We start from the raw sequence: 19,683 nt of genomic DNA on the forward strand, positions 1-19,683 counted from the left end.
CAGACACAAATAAATGAAATGACATCCCATGTTTATGAATTAGAATAATTAACATTGTTAAAATATCTGTACTACCCATAGCAATCTACAGATTCAATGCAATCCTATCAAAATCTCAATGGCATTATTTACAGAAATAGAAAAAGCAATCCTAAAATTCATATGGAACCAGAAAAGACTCCAAATAGCCAAAGCAATTTTGAATAAGAAGAACAAAGCTGGGGGTATCACACTTCCAGATTTCAAAATATATTACAAAGCTACAGTAATCAAAACAGTATGGTACAGGCATAAAAATAGATATATAGACCAAGGGAACATAATTAAGGGCCCAGAAATAAATCCACACAGCTATAGCCAACTGATTTTTGACAAGAGTGCCAAGAATAAGCGATGGGGAAAGGGCAGTCTCTTCAATAGTGTTGAGAAAACTGGATGACTACACCCAAAAGAATAAAACTGGATCTTTGTCTTACACAATACAGAAAAAATAACTCAAAATGGATTAAAGATTTAAAAGTAAGATAAGTAAGATCTGAAACCATAAAACTCCTAGAAGAAAACATAGGAGAAAACTTCTTGACATTCTTGCACATGACACCAAAAACAAGTCAACAAAAGGAAAAATAAGCAAGTGGGACTACATCAAACTGAAAAGCTGCTGTACAGCTAAGGAAATAATCAGCAGAGTAAAATGGTAACCTATGGAATGAGAGAAAACACTTGCAAACCATACACTTAATAAGGGGATAATTTCCAAAATATATAAGGAGCTTCCCCAACTCAACAGCAAATAAGTATGTAAGTGAACGTATACATACTGATATGCTTTGGCTGCGTCCCCACCCAAATCTCATCTTGAATTCCCATGTGTTGTGGGAGGGACCCAGTGGGAGGTGATCGAATTATTGGGGTGGGAATTTCCTGCACTGTTCTCATGATAGTGAATAAGTCTCATGAGATCTGATGGCTTTATAAGGCAGAGTTTCCCTGCACAACTCTTTTTTTTCCTGCCACCATTCACGTAAGATGTGACTTGCTCTTCCCTGCCTTCCGACGTGATTGTGAGGCCTCTCCAGCCAGGTGAAACTATAAATCCAATTAAACCTCTTTCTTCTGTACATGGCCCAGTCTTGGGTATGTCTTTATCAGCAGCATGAAAATGGACTAATAGACATACATACACATTATATATAACCCAATTTATAAATGGGTAAGTGAGCTGAACAGACATTTCCCCAGAGAGGACATGGAAATGGCCTACAAGTACGTGAGAAGATACTGAACGTCCCTAATCATCAGGGAAATGAAAATCAAAACTGCAGTTAGATATCATCTCACACCTGTTAGGATGACTATTATCAAAAAAGCAAAAGATGATAAGTGGTGAGGTTTGAAGAATAGAAACCCTTGTACATCATTGGTGGGGACTGGAAATTGATGCTGCTGCTATGGCAAACAATATGAAGCTTCCTCAAAAAAAAATTAAAATAGAACAACCATATGATTCAGCAATCCCACTTCTGGGTATCCAGCAGTAACTTTTATCCATGGTTTTGTTTTCTGCAGTTTCAGTTACCTATGGTCAATGGTAGTCTGAAAATATAAAATGGAAAATTCCAGAAAGAAACCATTCATAAATTGTAAATTGTGCACTGTCCTGAGTAGCGTGATGAAATCTTGAGCTGCCCCACTCTGTCCCTTTCAGGACGTGACTGATGCACACTGTGGATCCGCCCTGTACAAACTGCCTGCCCACTGAGTCACAGTTATCAGATCTGACTGTTGCAGTATCGTAGTATTTGTGTTCAAGAAGCCCTTCTTTTACTTAATATTGTCCCCAAAGTGCAAGAACAGAGATGCTGGCAACTTTGATATGTCAAAGAGAAGCCATAAAGTGCTTCCTTTAAGTCAAGAAGTGAAAGTTCTCAACTTAATAAGGAAAGAAAAAAAATGTATGTTGAAGCTGTTAAGATTTACAGTAAGAACAAGTCTTTCGTCTATGAAATTGTGAAGAAGAGGGAAAAAAGTGTGCTCGTTTTGCTGTCGCCTCTCAGACTACAAAAGTTTTATGGCCACAGTGTGTGATGAGTGCCTCGTTTAGACAGAAAAGCATTTAACTTTACGGGTAGAAGACATGAACGGAAGTTGCATTTGGATGGACAGCAATTGAGTTAGGTACTATCCATGGTTGCAAGCAGCCACTGGGGGTCTTGGGATGTAACCCCAGCAGATAAACAGGAATTACTATATATCCAAAAGAATTGAAATCAGGATAGGCCGGGTGTGATGGCTCATGCCTATAATCCCAGCACTTTGGGAGGCCAAGGTGGGTGGATCATGAGGTCAGGAATTCAAGACCAGCCTGGCCAACACAGTGAAACCCCATGTCTACTAAAAATACAAAAATTAGCCAGGTGTGGTGGTACGCACCTATAGTCCCAGCTACTTGGGAGGCTGAGGTGGAAGAGTTGCTTAAACCCGGAAGGCGGAGGTTGCAGTGAGCCAAGACCATATACCATTGCATTCCAGCCTGGGTGACAGAGTGAGACTCCATCTCAAAAAAAAAAAAAAGAATTGAAATCAGGTAGGTGGAGGCTGAAACAGGAGGATTGCTTAAGCCTGGGAGGTTGAGGCTGCAGTGAGCTGTGATCGCACCACTGCACTCCAGCCTGGGTGACAGAGTGAAACCATCTCAAAATAAACCAAAAAATTAATAAATTGTTAAGAGGGTAGATCTCATGTTAAGCATTCTTAACACACAGACCACAAAGGGACACAAAGAAGCTTTTGAACAAGATGGATATATTTATTACCTTGAAATTTTAAAGAAAAAAAAAAAGAACTCAGTCTTAAATGTGAATACATACAAGTCACTTGGCAAGGGTACTGTCCATTTTCATGAGCTCTGTTTGAAGGAGGGCTGGACCTGTGATCACCACCATAAGTTCCATGAAGAGAGAATGTATGTAGCCAAGTAGCCCCATGTTGACTCAGAAGTTGGTTATAGAGTCCACAAACCCCGTTTTTCTTTCTTTCTTCCTTTTTTTTTTTTTTCTTTTGAGACGGAGTTTCACTCTTGTTGCCCAAGCTGGTGTGCAATGGCATGATCTTGGCTCACTGCAACCTCTGCCTCCTGGGTTCAAGCGATTCTCCTGCCTCAGCCTCCCCAGTAGCTGGGATTACAGGCATGCACCACCACGCCCAGCTAATTTTTGTATTTTTAGTAGAAACAGGGTTTTTCCATATTGGTCAGGCTGGTCTCGAACTCCTCACCTCAGGTGATCCACCCGCCTCAGCCTCCCAAAGTGCTGGGATTACAGGCGTGAGCCACCGTGCCCAGCCTTTTTTTTTTTTTCTCTTTTTTTTTAAAGTAGAGACAAAGTCTCACTATGTTGCCCAAGCTGGCCTCAAACTCCTGGCCTCAAGCAATCCTCCCACCTCAGCCTCCCAAAGTGCTGGGCTTAAGAAGTGAGCCACCACACGAGGCCACAAACCCCAGGTTCTAAGTTGTTGCCTGTGATCCTCTCTCCTCTAGAGCAGGGGCATTTCTTGTTGGAGAGACAGCAGAATAAGCATCAGCAGTACTTGAGCAAAATTTAAACTTTATCACAAAGCCTTTTTTTTTTTTTTTTTAAAGATCAGTTTCTCAAATGAGTTTCAGATGGCTCAATTAAATCTCCAGGAAGGAAAACTGGAAACGTCCAGTCTTCAGTTTTGTATTTTTTTTCTTTTAAATGAATTTAAACCTTTTTTTAAAATCAAGGACCATGTTAATTTCTATCTTAGCCGTCTATTGGTTGATCCTTCGATGTTATAAGCTACTTAATCACAAATATGCTTAGGGAACTAATGTCATCACATTCTGTATTCTTAGTATATGCTCAATTTTTCCAGAGCTGTATCAAAAGTTGAATATATACAATAGGGAATTTTTTTTAACACTTCACTTCAGGCACAGAGAGAATCAGTGGGCTTTTCCAAAAGGAGAAAGCTGAACAGGTTATGCCCTAGTTCACAAGCAAACCGTCCAGAAAACATTCTAATTGGGGAAAACAGCCGTGAGAGTGTAATGCTCCCAGCGCAAAGCTGCCCTGACAGCTGACCCCTTTTTTTCCCCTTCCTGTTTCTGACACTTGGCGAGGAATTAAACTGGAGCTAAGGGCACAGAAGTTGAAAAGGCAAAAGGCAAGCGTTCTTCTGGGTGGTCTGAGCGTGGTCCTAGGAAGGACGCTGTTTGTGAAGGTAAAATCTCTAATTGGGGAGAGAAGGGCCAGCTGGTGAGCTGTTGAGATCAGGTGAAGACCTGAATCGCAGAAGCACAGCACGGTCAGAGCCCGCTGCGCCGGCAGCAAGGCCAGAAGGTGCACGAAGAAGGTGAGGATGCCTCTCTGTTTATCGGTTTGTTGCTTTTCAAATTCTTTTATTTTCAGAAGTTGCGATTTTAGTTCTAAAAATTACAATTGTGCATGATTCGTGAGAAAGGTCCTGAGTTGAACTTTAGACTTGGTTTTCTTTAAAAGTTGGAGCGTCTTCTGAAATAGCACATTTGAGTCAAGTTAAAGCCATACCTACAGCTTGAGGGGTTGAGATAAGCCGTAAGTTCTCATCTAGAGCCTGGAAGAGTTGGGTGACTCTCGCATTAGGAAAATGAATTTTTAATTTGGCTTAAGCTTTTTTGTACTTCCTGAAAAACCCATGTAAGATTTATCAAAGGAGCTGGTCTTGGGCAGCAAACACAAAGCTCCATCTTTCTTTTTGGCTATGGACTCTTCAAACCCATTTTCTTGGCTAGTTTTTCTTAGCCCTTAATGAAATTTCAGGCAGATCACGTAGGTTATTTTATGTCTTCCAAAAAATATAAGTAAATAGTATCTCTTTCGGGGATTAAAACACTCTAATACTAAAACCCCCTGATTTTATTAAACTTAAGACTCTCCTCCACTGGCTTGGGCTGGCATTAGGATTACGAACCTCCAGTGGGAGGGAGAAGGGTCCTTTGAACCTAAGCTAAACATGGCCCCCTGATTCTTTGGGCAAAGAAAACAAACCATGGAAGGGAAACAGATGTTCTTGGAGGACTTTGTTAGAGTAATTCTGGAAGGGAGAACACAGTTGTGGTGGACATGGAGCTGTGGAAAGGACTCTCATTCAAGGAAGGCTTTGCTGCCCAACTAGGGGGAATGTGACCGTGTGTGCCTTCAGCCACCAGCTCCTGAAGGTGAGCCTCAGTGGCAGAGAGCCACCCTGCCCAAGGTCACGACTTCCTGGGTGGCCTACATCTGGTGGCTGAGCAAGGAAGGGCTGAAAAGGCAGGCTCTGCTGTTACGGAACCAACAGGTTCCTGTGCCCCCTGCAGAGTAACAGACCAATGCACTGAGACAGCAGAATTTGCAGGACAGACAGTTTAGCGATGGCAGGACCCCAAGCAGGGAGATGGAAGGAGACCTCCAAATCCATCTCTCTGAGGAATTCTGGGGTTTTTAAGAGGATCATGGAGGATGAGGGGCTGTTCATTGGTGGGGTCAGGGGAATGAAATCATCAGAAGGTGAAAACCGCATTCTTTGGTAAGTCAGCTCCTGTGGGTTCCTTCAGACCAGCTGGCATCAGCAGGGTCTTTCAGATCAAACAAGTCATTACTTTCATGAGTATGCAAGACCTGAAGGAATATCTCAAAGAGAAAACTTCATGTTTCATAAGGTTCAAGCTGTTGTCTGCAGAGCAGGTGTGGAGAGCTGTAATCTTGTAACAGGGTCCACATGATTCTAAAACAATAAGCACCAAACAGCCATGAGAAAGCAGGTCAGAAAGAAAGCAGACTGCATGATGGATGCTGGATGTGCCACAAGTTTGGTTTATTTTTATTTCTCGCCCCTTCTCTCATGATTAATTTTATAAAGATGGTAGGGATGGTTTCACAACCATCTCAGCCCAGGGAGGGGTGCTGTCATGGAGATGTTCACTCCAAGGCCCCCAGGGTGTTGCTGAGCCTATTTGGAGATTCAGTTTATTTCCTCTGCCCAATCCTGGTGGTTCCTCCCATTTTCTTTTCTTTCTTTCTTACTTTTTTTCAACCAGATGCAAATCTCACACCTCCCATTTTCTAATCAGGTGCTGAGCCTTACAGACAGTCCTTCACGCACAACTCCTTCTCTCCACCTGTTCCTAGAGTACTCGAGCCATTCACCTGGATGCTTAGATAGAGCGCTTATTCCTTTTATCTCAAGTAGTTCATCAGGGAACCAAGGTCTAACTCAGGGGTTCTTGACTATTTTTCAGTCACAGACACTTTTGAGAAAATGAGGAAGGTTACATTCCCCCCCCCCCCGAACCCAGAAAAAAAGAAATTACATGGCGCTTACCATTTTTGCCTGCAGTTTCAAAGATTTTGAAGAATCTCTGACACTCCTAGAGACATTGACCCCAGCGTTCACCTTCCCACCCTAATCTTCCCTTGAATATTGTTCTTGTATATTCCTTGAAGTCTGGATGTTATTAGACTTACGTGGTGGTGATACTGGATTTGCTGCCTAAGGTAAATATTTGAGGGGTTGAGATAAGCCGTGAGTTCTCATCTAGAGCCTAGAAGAGATGATGACTCTTGCATTAGGAAAGTGAATTATTAACTTGGTTTAAGCTTCCCTGAAAAACCCATGTAAGATTTATCAAAGGAGCTGGTCTCTGGGTAGCAAACAGAAAGCCCCCTCTTTCTTTCTGGCTATGGACTTTTCAAACTCACTTTCTTAGCTAGTTTTTCTTAGCCGTTAATGAAGCTTCAGACAGATCACATAGATGTTTGGGTTGCTTCCAAAAAATGTGTACAAAAATTGTGTCTCTTTCAGGGATTAAAACACTCTAATACTAGAATTCTCTGATTGTATTAAACCTGAAACTCTCCTGCACTGGCTTGGGCTGGCTTTAGGATTAGGAACCTCCCGTGGGAGGGAGAAGGTCCTTTGATTCAGCCTCCTTCCACATTCCTAGCTGTTGTCATCGGCTCCTAGAGCCAGGTACCATGGGAAGGATGCTGTATGGCTGGTACAGTGGTGCTCTGGGCTGGAGCACTCTGGTTGTTGCAGAAACTCTAAGGTGTATCTCTAAGGCTCCCCTATATATTACCCTGCTGGAAGCTCCAACTACATCTCCCTTGATATAAGTAGTGCCTTCTTTATCGGACTCATTTCAACAACCATGGCTTTCTTGCAGTCCACCACCCATCTGCTGAGTCACTTTGTCTGCAAGGACACCTTTGTATGTTGGAAGTCACTTTCCCAATAGCTCACTGCCTTGAATCTACATCTGGTCCTTCCTCTACCCCTGTCCCTACCCCATGTTGGATCCCCCATTGCCACTGTGGGAGGAGCAGGTGCCTGCAGCCCTCTTTCTTCATGCCCTGCCACCAGGGGTGCCCCACACCTTTACTGTTCCCAGGAAGGAGTCTGACACCCACTCCTAGGTCCCTCAAACGCCACCAGGCTCATGGCAGTTTCTCTCAAAGGCACACCAGTACACTTGCACCCCAAAGAAACCCTCCCTTTCCAATTTCCACAACCCACACAATAGATTCTCCACCTTCTTTTTGGTGGCCTCCTGGAAGACAGTGGGCTGATGCTGGCAGAACCACTAGACACGGTCTACCTATCCTGACAAGACTCTGAGCCAGAAAAGCTTCCATTTCAACATCCTGCACCCCAACACTATAATTTAGTCTTTAGGATAAAGTCCATCTGTATCCTTCATTTTCCTCTGAATTGCGAGCTATGTGAAATGAGGACAAGGATTTCTCTATATTAGAAATAGTAACCTATAGAAGTATGTAGCCATGAGCATCTATTAACTATGTTTGGCTGGCTGGGAATGCTTTGTAATCATAAAGGAATTTTTCCATCTGTGCCATGACCCCAACGAGAATATACATTAAGAAAATATCCATTCAAAGGGCAGAAATGACCAAAGCAGTGTGAAGATTGTTTCTTTGAAATAAGCCTACATCCTGAAGAAGGCTGCCATGAGTCTGAAAGGCAGCTGCAGCGAACCTATTTTTGGAAAGCCTAAAATCATAGAATTTCAAATTTCCGAAGGAAGCCTGAGTTATTGAAAACAGATGTTTTAGGAAAAGGAATAGAAACTTTTAAGCGGTAACTTTTTAATAAGCCATAATAGTTCAAAGAGTGTCAGAGGAACACAGCCCGGAGATATTCACCTTTGAAAAGTCCCAGATGGCCAAGTAACATTCCCACAAATAAAGAAAAACCCAAGAAGAGAAAGTTTTTGCAAAAATACCAAAACCAACCGTATTTGCACCTCACAACATGACACCTCCCAGATCTGGAAGGTCATTTGAAGATAAAGTCCCAGATTCCATGGACCAGGCAGCAGAAACTCAATCCTCTGGACTGATTAGAAAGAAAGTCAGGTCCTAAAGCAGTGGGAAGTGTCATTTTGAGACATTTGGGAAGTAATGTAGTTTTATTAACCTGATATACATTTAGAAATCAACCATTGACAGAGAGGCCTCACTGAACTCTGTTTACAAAGAGATAAAAATTATTTGTAATCTACGTTTATATTTAAGTCCATGTTTGCAAGAGTAAAGCTATAGAGAGATGATAGATAGATAGATAGATAGATAGATAGATAGATACATTAGATAGGTGATTTATTGATTGATAGATAAATAGATTATAAATAGTAGGTAGACAGATGATGGATAGATAGATAAGATAAATGATAGACAGATGATAGATAGATTAGATAGATAGATAGATGATAGGGAGCTAGATTAGATAGATAGATTTGATAGATGATATATAGATTAGATAAAAAGATGAAGCATAGATTAGACAGATGATAGATAGATTAGATAGATGATAGTTTAGATAGATGATATACAGATTAGATAGAAAGATAGGTGATAGATAAATGATAGATAATAGGTAGATTAAATAGATGATAGATAATAGGTAGATTAGATAGATGATAGATAATAGGTAGATAGATAGATTAGATAGATGATAGATAGATAGATAGATAGATAGATAGGATAGATATATACACAGATACATAGAGAGCATGTGTTACTTGACCGGGGGCACTTAGTAGATGGGCTCAGAGATGCTAGATGTCCTGCATTGGACAAGACACTTTTGCAAATCCTCCACAGTTTTGTAATGTTCCATTGACATTAATAAGTTAAGATGAAAAACCTATTCACAATTATCTATATATATCTATAGCTTTTTCTCAAGCTAACTAACTTTTCTCTGGTATGATTCTTACCCTTTATTTGGCTAATAATCATTCACAACGTGATTTGTACCTTAACATTTGGTACAGCTTTGAGGGGCATAGAAAGAAGTTTCCGTCAATAGAAATCCAGCTTATGTTTTAGACAAGATGCTGCTTAGGAATTCTGAAAGACTAGGCAGCTGGGCCATCATTCAGGCAGCTGATATGGTGCATTTCTTCCAAGAACGTGGAGTTCTAGGCTGATCCGCTGTTTTCCCGTTAGACAGGTCTCAAGAGGGATGACCCAGCTCAGTGGTTCTCTGTAGGGACAGTCCTTATCCCAGGCAGCATTTTGAAAATTGCTGGAAACACTTCTTGTCACAAGATTGGAGGCACTTAGTAGGTGGGCTCAGAGACACTAGGTGCTCCGCAGTGGACAAGAGATTTCTGCAAATTTCTCATGACTTTGTAATGTTCTCACCGACATTGACATGATAAGAAGATGAAAAACCTCTTCATAATTATCTACACTTAGATGAAACTCAGATTTATGTGTAAACACAAAGTATGTTTGCGTGGTTTTAATACACTTGAATTTCCAGGAAGGTAAATTCAGTGGGACGATTGTGCTACTATTTTTTGGAATTTTACCAGGAGGTTTTCTGTTTAACCTTTTCGGAAAAACCATATCACCAGTGGCAATGCTAATCATAATAAATAGAGTTGCCAATACAATACGTCTCTATTCGTTTGCATTTGTATCTGTCACAAGCGTAGTTCTACACATAGATGCATCTGACTTCTTCCTTTATCTTCTAGAATAGGCCCACCTGAGCATTTACACATTCCAATATTTATTTTATCTTAATTTGTTTCCCTTTACTTCTCTGTTGTATCATAGTAAGGGCTTTAAATTGATTTTTTTTTAATTATTATTATACTTTAAGTTTTAGGGTACATGTGCACAATGTGCAGGTTAGTTACATATGTATACATGTGCCATGCTGGTGCGCTGCACCCACTAACTCGTCATCTAGCATTAGGTATATCTCCCAATGCTATCCCTCCCCGCTGCAACCCAAAACAGTCCCCAGAGTGTGATGTTCCCCTTCCTGTGTCCATGTGTTCTCATTGTTCAATTCCCACCTATGAGTGAGAATATGCGGTGTTTGGTTTTTTGTTCTTGCGATAGTTTACTGAGAATGATGATTTCCAATTTCATCCATGTCCCTACAAAGGCCATGAACTCATCATTTTTTATGGCTGCATAGTATTCCATGGTGTATATGTGCCACATTTTCTTAATCCAGTCTATCATTGTTGGACATTTGGGTTGGTTCCAAGTCTTTGCTATTGTGAATAGTGCCACAATAAACATATGTGTGCATGTGTCTTTATAGCAGCATGATTTATAGTCCTTTGGGTATATACCCAGTAATGGGATGGCTGGGTCAAATGGTATTTCTAGTCCTAGATCCCTGAGGAAGCGCCACACTGACTTCCACAATGGTTGAACTAGTTTACAGTCCCACCAACAGTGTAAAAGTGTTCCTATTTCTCCATATCCTCTCCAGCACCTGTTGTTTCCTGACTTTTTAATGATTGCCATTCTAACTGGTGTGAGATGATATCTCATTGTGGTTTTGATTTGCATTTCTCTGATGGCCAGTGATGGTGAGCATTTTTTCATGTGTTTTTTGGCTGCATAAATGTCTTCTTTTGAGAAGTTTCTGTTCATGTCCTTTGCCCACTTTTTGATGGGGTTGTTTGTTTTTTTCTTGTAAATTTGTTTGAGTTCATTGTAGATTCTGGATATTAGCCCTTTGTCAGATGAGTAGGTTGCAAAAATTTTCTCCCATTGTGTAGGTTGCCTGTTCACTCTGATGGTAGTTTCTTTTGCTGTGCAGAAGCTCTTTAGTTTAATTAGATCCCATTTGTCAATTTTGGCTTTTGTTGCCATTGTTTTTGGTGTTTTAGACACGAAGTCCTTGCCCATGCCTGTGTACTGAATGGTAATGCCTAGGTTATCTTCTAGGGTTTTTATGGTTTTAGGTCTAACGTTTAGGTCTTTAATCCATCTTGAATTGATTTTTGTATAAGGTGTAAGGAAGGGATCCAGTTTCAGCTTTCTACATATGGCTAGCCAGTTTTCCCAGCACCATTTATTAAATAGGGAATCCTTTCCCCATTGCTTGTTTTTCTCAGGTTTGTCAAAGGTCAGATAGTTGTAGGTATGCGGCGTTATTTCTGAGGGCTCCGTTCTGTTCCATTGATCTATATCTCTGTTTTGGTACCAGTACCATGCTGTTTTGGTTACTGTAGCCTTGTAGTATAGTTCAAAGTCAGGTAGTGTGATGCCTCCAGCTTTGTTCTTTTGGCTTAGGATTGACTTGGTGATGTGGGCTCTTTTTTGGTTCCACATGAACTTTAAAGTAGTTTTTTCCAATTCTGTGAAGAAAGTCATTGGTAGCTTGATGGGGATGGCATTGAATCTATAAATTACCTTGGGCAGTATGGCCATTTTCACGATATTGATTCTTCCTACCCATGAGCATGGAATGTTCTTCCATTTGTTTGTATCCTCTTTTATTTCATTGAGCAGTGGTTTGTAGTTCTCCTTGAAGTGGTCCTTCACATCCCTTGTAAGGTGGATTCCTAGGTATTTTATTCTCTTTGAAGCAATTGTGAATGGGAGTTCACTCATGATTTGGCTCTCTGTTTGTCTGTTATTGGTGTATAAGAATGCTTGTGATTTTTGTACATTGATTTTGTATCCTGAGACTTTGCTGAAGTTGCTTATCAGCTTAAGGAGATTTTGGGCTGAGACAATGGGGTTTTCTAGGTGTACAATCATGTCGTCTGCAAACAGGGACAATTTGACTTCCTCTTTTCCTAATTGAATACCCTTTATTTCCTTCTCCTGCCTAATTGCCCTGGCCAGAACTTCCAACACTATGTTGAATAGGAGTGGTGAGAGAGGGCATCCCTGTCTTGTGCCTGTTTTCAAAGGGAATGCTTCCAGTTTTTGCCCATTCAGTATGATATTGGCTGTGGGTTTGTCATGGATAGCTCTTATTATTTTGAGATACGTCCCATCAATGCCGAATTTATTGAAAGTTTTTAGCATGAAGGGTTGTTGAATTTTGTCAAAGGCCTTTTCTGCATCTATTGAGATAATCATGTGGTTTTTGTCTTTGGTTCTGTTTATATGCTGGATTACATTTATTGATTATATTATTGAGGGAAGAAAAATGAAACTTGCTTTGGATATATATCAAATTCATCTTAAGATAACTTTTTTAAAATTACAGAATATTTGCTGTCAAAAGGGATCTGGTAGGGTAGTAAACCACTGCCTTAACTGAAACATTGGGATACATGCTGGAATTTTTTTAAGTCCAGATTTGTACAAAGCATTCTGTATATGTTTATTATAACAAGATTGTTAATTATGTTCTTTTTATATCCTACTGATTTTCTCTTGTCTGCTTGAGAGGTAAGTTAAAAACTCCTATTTTTTTGATGGATGTGTCCATTATTAGTTGTAGATTTCTTAATCTTTGCTCTGTAGATTTTTGAAGTTGGATTATTAGGTGCATACAAATTTATAATTGACATTCATTTCAAGAGAAGAAATTTTATCATAATATAGTAATTCTCTTTGGATTTTTGTCTTAAAGCCTATTTTATTTTATTTTAAAAATTTTTAATTGATATATAATAGGTGTAGATATGTTGGGGTGTTATATTTTGGTATCTGTATACAATGTGTAATGATCAAATCAGGATAATTGGGACATTCATCACCTGAAACATGTCTTTTCTTTGGGTTGGGAACATTACGAACCTTCTCTTCTAGCTTCTGAAGTATACTATAAATTATCATTCTTTATTATTTCCCTACTGTACTGTAAAATCTAAAATTTATTCCTTCTAAATGTATTTTAGCACCCCTTCACCAACATTTTTTATCCCTCCACTAAAATCTATTTTATCCAATATTAATATAGCAACACCACTGTTATAATTTTTTATCCTTTTACTCTCAAACTTTGTCATTACATGTATGTAATGATACGTGTACATGTCATTACATGTATGTGATGATACGTGTACGTGTCATTACATGTATGTGATGATACGTGTACGTGTCATTACATGTATGTGATGATACGTGTACGTGTCGTTACATGTATGTGATGATACGTTTATGTGTCGTTACATGTATGTGATGGTGCATGTGTCGTTACATGTAAAAATACATACATGTATTATAACATACATACATAATACATACATGTATTATACATACGTACATAATACATACATAGATACATACATAGATACATACATAGATACATGTATCTATTAAAATACATGTATGTATTTTAATAGATAACACATAGTTGGATTTTGGTTTTGTATTCATTCTGACAATGTCTATTAGCTGGAGGAGTCAAACTATATTTCTAGTAAATATGGATTTATTTGGATTTCTTTAGTATCATTCACTCATTCAACAAATACTCATTGAGCACCTGCTATGAGCCAACTTCTGTTTTAGACATTGGAGAAACAAGATAAACAAAACAGACAATGCCCCTGCTTGATGGGGCTAATGAGAGAAGGCTAGTGATAAATATTTTCTGTCTGATAAGTGCCGTGGAGAAAAGTGAGGCAGGATAAGAGAGTTAAAGAGCTAGAATGGTGGGAACAGAGAATCTTGTTATTTTATAGAGGAAAGCCTCCTGAGTAAGGTGACATTTAAGCTGAATCATGAAAGTAATGACAGAAGAAACTGCAGCTTTCTAGAGGAAGAGACTTCCAGGAAGAGAGAGCTTCAAAGTGGAAACCTGCCTGGTATTTCAAGGAACAGTAAGGTGGCCAGCATGGCAGGGGCAAGGGGAAGAGCTGGGAGACAGGGCCAGAAAGAAAACCAGAACCAGATTACGTGGCATCATAATGTGAAAATATGTAGTTCAAAATTAAGCTGCTAGAACTGTAAAACACTTTGAGCCTTAAGGAAATGTGATCATGGGACCTGAGTCACATAAACAGGCAGCTATAACCTAGACAGCTGCAGCTGTAACCTTTCTTTCTCTGGTTATAGATTAGCCTTTTTTTCCTTACCTACATTGTTTTGTAAAAAAAAAAAAAAAGTGGGGGGGCGGGGGGGATCACCAGGGAGGACCCCTTCCCTCTTAATTGTTGATCTTCATTGTAGATTAATTTTCCTCTTTCCTCTCTGACATGAAGACTCCATGACTCTTACAGTACCTAAGATGGAATGTTAAATATACTGTTTGAAATTGGAAATGAAATTAAAACAAGCTATAAAGAAAAGAAAAGAAGCTGTATGGAAAATAAAATAAAATGTAACTACGTGGTAACTTGTAAGACAGCCTTGTATGGGAAGCGTTATAGTCTTACTAAATTTCTTTGTTTTCTGCCAATATAAGCAAGACCTTAGCTTTTAATGTCAGAGCGCTGACCCCATTCCTTTGGAGTCTGCATCACCTGAATGGCAAGTCTCAGCTTTTCACTTGAGTAAACTACTTTAAACTGTGTTCTAATCATTTCAATTATTTTGGGTTGCAAGCAAGTAAGACCTTTAGCCTTTATTCTCAATGAGAAGGGGAATCACTGCAGAGTTTTGAATACAAGAGTGATGTCATCTGAATTGTGTTATAGAAGGATTTATCTGGCTGCTGTTTTCGGAATAGATGATTGAGAGGTGGGGCTAGGAGACCGGTGAGGAGACCACTGACATCATCTGAGTGAGAAGCGAGTATAGCTTCCACCGTGGTGGTAGTGGAGGAAACGGTAAAATAAGGCCAGACTTTTCAAGTTTTCTGAAGGTGGAACCAATGGAATTTAAGTCAAATTGGACATGGGTTATGAGGAAAAGAGAGGGCATGAGAAAGATGGAGCTGGCATTTACAGATGTAGGAAAGGCTGAGAGAGGAACGGGTCTGTGGAGAGAAGACCAGGAGTTCACTTTGGACAGGAGAGTGTTGAGATATATCCAGGTAGAGTTGGTCGAATGTCAGCATCTGGGGCTCAGGAGAAAAATCCAGCCGAGAGACGTAAGCTGAGAGGCACCAGCATGAGGATGCTGTTTCCAGCTGCAAGCCAGGAGATGAGATGATGTGGGGAACCCAGACACAGGAGAGGGGGCCCCAGAGGCTCAGCCCTGGGGCGCAGCAACACTGAAATCTGAGAAAGTGAGGAGGAACCAGAAGGAGTTGCTGAGGAGAGGCCAGCGAGGTAGGAGGAGAGAAACCGATGTTTGAGGAGTCAAATAAAAAACATCTATTTCAAGCAGGAGAAAATAAGTAACTTCCAAGCCCAGCTGATAGGACTAGAAGAAGGGGAGGAAGAATTATGGTTGTTCATGGGAGTGAGCCATGTGGACACAGACACACATACATACACAAACACAAAACATAGAGACATGCAGACACACATATGCACACATACACACATATGTACACACATACATCTGCACACACGCACACACATGCACACACACATACACATACCTCTGCACATACATATACACACATGTGCACACATACATATGCACACACATATGTGCACACATATGCACATACATATGCATGCATACACACATACATGCACACACATACACATGTATATGCACACATACATATGCATGCACACATACATACATGTGCACACACATACATGCACACACATACACACATACATGTGCGTGCACACATACATGCACATACATACATACATACACAAACACCAGGTTTGTTCTAGAATGCACAGGTGCAAGAAACATCACCTTGATTTATTTTTCTAAATCATAAAAAGCTGACTCCCAGTGCCCTCTTTTCAAGGTGACGAAAATTCAATCTCAGCTACCTCTTGGGATATTCCTCTCTCCCCCAAAGAATAACTGTAATGAGAATAAAAAGATCTTAAAGGGAGGACAAAGGATGGGGGGAAAGAAACCAATTTACTTTCTTAACCCAAAGGATTATGTACATTTTTGTTAATACATTATTTTCATAGCTGACATACGACCAGTTGTTGTGATAAGCTCTTTCTGGGCATTATCCCAGAGTTCAGCCAACTTTTGCCAGCCACGTGATCCCTGTGGCAGGTGCCCAACCCTACCACCGTCGCGCAAAGGCAGCCATTGACAACATGGAAATGAATGAGCGTGGATGTCCCAATGAAACCTTTTTCATGGACGGCGAAATTGAATTTCATCTAATTTACACATGTCACAAAATATTATCCTTCTCTTATTTTCCCCCCAAGCATTTAAAAATGTAAAAAACCACTCTTATTTGGGAGGCCGAGGAGGGCGGGTCATGAGGTCAGGAGTTCGAGACCAGCCTGACCAACATGGTGAAAGCTGGTCTCTACCAAAAATACAAAAATTGGCCGGGCATAGTCGCACGCACCTGTAATCCCAGCTACTGAGGAGGCTGAGGCAGGAGAATCTCTTGAACCTGGAAGGTGGAGGTTGCTGTGAGGCGAGATCATGCCATTGCACTCCAGCCTGGGTGACAGAGCAAGACACCATCTCAAAAAAAAAAAAAAAAAAAAAAGCCACTCTTAGCTCACAGGCTGTACAGGAACAAATGGCAGATCAGGTTCAGCCCACAGTCCCCATTATATCATATAATGTCCACCACATATCCTATAAGGTGGGTAATAGTAAAAGCTTCCCATTATGAATGAAGAAACTGAGTCATGGTCACATTGCCAAGAAGGATGGAGCAGTGATGGGAGCAAGTGTAGATGCTCTGGAGTCCACAGTCCCAATGGTACAGATGATCATCTGATCATCTCTGGCTACTTTATATACGGTGAGCATGTCCATTGATTCGCCACCTTGGCCCATGGTGTCGTTAATTATATGACATCTCTTCCCAGTGCTTTCTTTACATCTCCCATTATTGAATGAGTTAATGATAAAAACAGCGGTTTGCAGCCAAACATATGGCCCAATAACAGCCAGTATTTCATTATTACCCACCCAGGTTCAGAAGACGTTATCATTGTTACTTACTTACTCATTTACTTTCTTCAATGTACCTAAAAGGTAATGAAGAGCACCATGACCTCATACACGAACAAAGAAGTTACGAATGAGTGATGTTAAATCTTGAAATATAAACTGTAAAGTTCAGGGCATGCTCCTGGAAAGCTATTCACTTGATTTTGTTCTTTTTCCAAGATCGAAACAAGAAAAATAATTCACCAGTGGAAAAAGGCACAAGTGGGCTTACCAGCCTTTCCGGTCATGCACCTCTAGTTTCTGACAACGTGTTGATAACTCCGTTCCACAAATACTTCATAATCATCACACTGTGCTCTTCTTGCTATAGCAAATTATTTGAGAAAAAAAAAAAGTCACTGGACCCAGTCCTTATGTTCCGAGAACTTACAACCTCTGAAGAAATCAGTTCTAGATGAATCCACTATTTAAGCCTTATCACTGCAGCTGTGTGGGCTCCTGTCTTTAGTTTTTGGAATACATCCACTGGGGACCTGCCTTGAGACTTTTGCAGGTGCATGGACTTCCCAGCTGAGAGCAAGCTTTTCTTTTGCAAGGCCGGCTCCTTCTCAGCCTCCAGGCCTTGGCTTGTGAAGCCATCCCAGAACACTTACATAAGGAGTTTCACTCTCATTGCTCTCTTTCTCTGCATTGTGTTTTCCTCATAGCCCTGTTCACAATCTGCAATTATGACTTACTAATTACCATATATGATTTTAATATATGATTTGTTTGCGGTTTACAACACCTTTTTACAGGGCTCCCCCTTTAAGCTGGAAGCTTTAAGGAGACTGCTGTTTTCCTGTTGCTTTGCACAGGGGGCCTGGCACATAGTATGCACTCAATAAATACAAATGGAATGGACACGACTGAGTGAATGAATGATGGACATGAGGCCAGAGGGGAGCCAAGGGGGTCAGCTTCGGCACCCCCATCTCTCACTTCAGCCCCAACCAGAGCACAACAGTGTTCAGTCGTTTAATATTTGCACTCAAGCCATTTTTTGTTTTGGTTTCTTTTTTTTTTTTTTTTTTTTTTTTTGAGACACAGAGTCTCGCTCTGTCACCCAGGCTGGAGTGTAGTGGCGCGATCTCAGCTCACTGCAAGCTCCGCCTCCCGGGTGCACTCCATTCTCCTGCCTCAGCCTCCCAAGTAGCTGGGACTACAGGCACCCGCCACCACACCCAGCTAATTTTTTTTTTTTTTGTATTTTTAGTAGAGATGGGGGTTTCACCTTGTTAGCCAGGATGGTCTCAATCTCCTGACCTCGTGATCCTCCTGCCTCGGCCTCCCAAAGTGCTGGGATTACAGGCATGAGCCACTGAGCCCAGCTTGTTTTGATTTCTAAACATGAAAACAAAAAGGCAAATAGGAAAACATTTAAAAAGCTGGCCTCACTAAACTAGAGAGTTTATTTTGCAGAATTGTGGGAGATGAGGTTGGCTGGATAAAGTAAGATCTGAATATAGACTTTCACTGAAGCTATGGCAAGGATCTCAGCACGCTATTGACACAAAGACAGAGAGACCAGGGAGGCTGAGCCGAGAGTCCTGACTCAGACCCACACACAGACCGTCACTTCATTAACAATGGCACCACGGCCATTCCAAACGGACAGAAGGGTCTTTGCAATAAATGACGCTGGAGTCTTTAGACATCCACATGGAAAGAAAAACAGGAATCCTGATGCCTTCCATCCTCATCGTGTTTTGAATTTTCTGTGTCTTATCATGTTTACATCTTGAAAATCTTGCTGGCCAGGGAGAGACTGCCCTTCCCAAGAGCTAGCTGACTCCTAAAGATGGAGAACAACTGAGCTACAGACATGCCTCTCCTACCCAAGCTGACTCCCTCCTTTATCTAACACCCACACACCAAGCCACTGTTTCTCCTGCCCTAAATCACCCCAGGACCAGGTACCAGGCAACTAGCGACCACCCCTAGAGCACGGAACCCGCCAGGATTATTCAAATAGCCAGTCCTGAACTGTGGACTCTGACCTACCTAGTCCCTCCCTCAGAAACCCCAATCAAGACTATGACCTACGCGGGCCCAGTGGCTCAGTCCTGCAATCCCAGCACTTTGAGGGGGCCAAGGCAGGAAGATCGCTTGAGGTCACGAGTGTGAAAGCAGCCTGGGCAACATGGCGAAACCCCATCTCTACAAAAAAAAATACAAAAACTAGCCGGGCATGGTAATTAGCCTGCCTGTCGTCCCAGTTACCTGGGAGGCTGAAGTGGGAGGATCACCTGAGCCCAGGGAAGTAGTGGCTGCAGTGAGCTGTGATCGTCCCACTGCACTCCAGCCTGGTGACAAAACGAGACTCTGTCTCAAAAAATAAATAAGTCAATGAACAGGTAAATAAAAGACTGACCCAGGCCTTCCCCCTGCTCCTGCTGCTGCCCCCTGA

At 41.1% G+C, this 19,683-nt stretch overlaps 1 long non-coding RNA gene across 1 annotated transcript in view; it reads left to right on the top strand.

Moving 5' to 3' along the window:
* The first annotated feature begins 4,332 nt into the window (after positions 1–4,332).
* LOC124901579 (uncharacterized) overlaps positions 4,333–19,683 on the top strand; it is a 41,965-nt gene continuing 26,614 nt past the window's right edge. Inside the window, exon 1 of the long non-coding RNA XR_007060198.1 lies at positions 4,333–4,377. This is a non-coding gene — a long non-coding RNA (uncharacterized LOC124901579). The remainder of the gene's footprint in view (positions 4,378–19,683) is intronic.

The sequence above is a fragment of the Homo sapiens genome, chromosome 7 (assembly GCF_000001405.40).
Source record: "Homo sapiens chromosome 7, GRCh38.p14 Primary Assembly".
Taxonomy (NCBI): domain Eukaryota; kingdom Metazoa; phylum Chordata; class Mammalia; order Primates; family Hominidae; genus Homo; species Homo sapiens.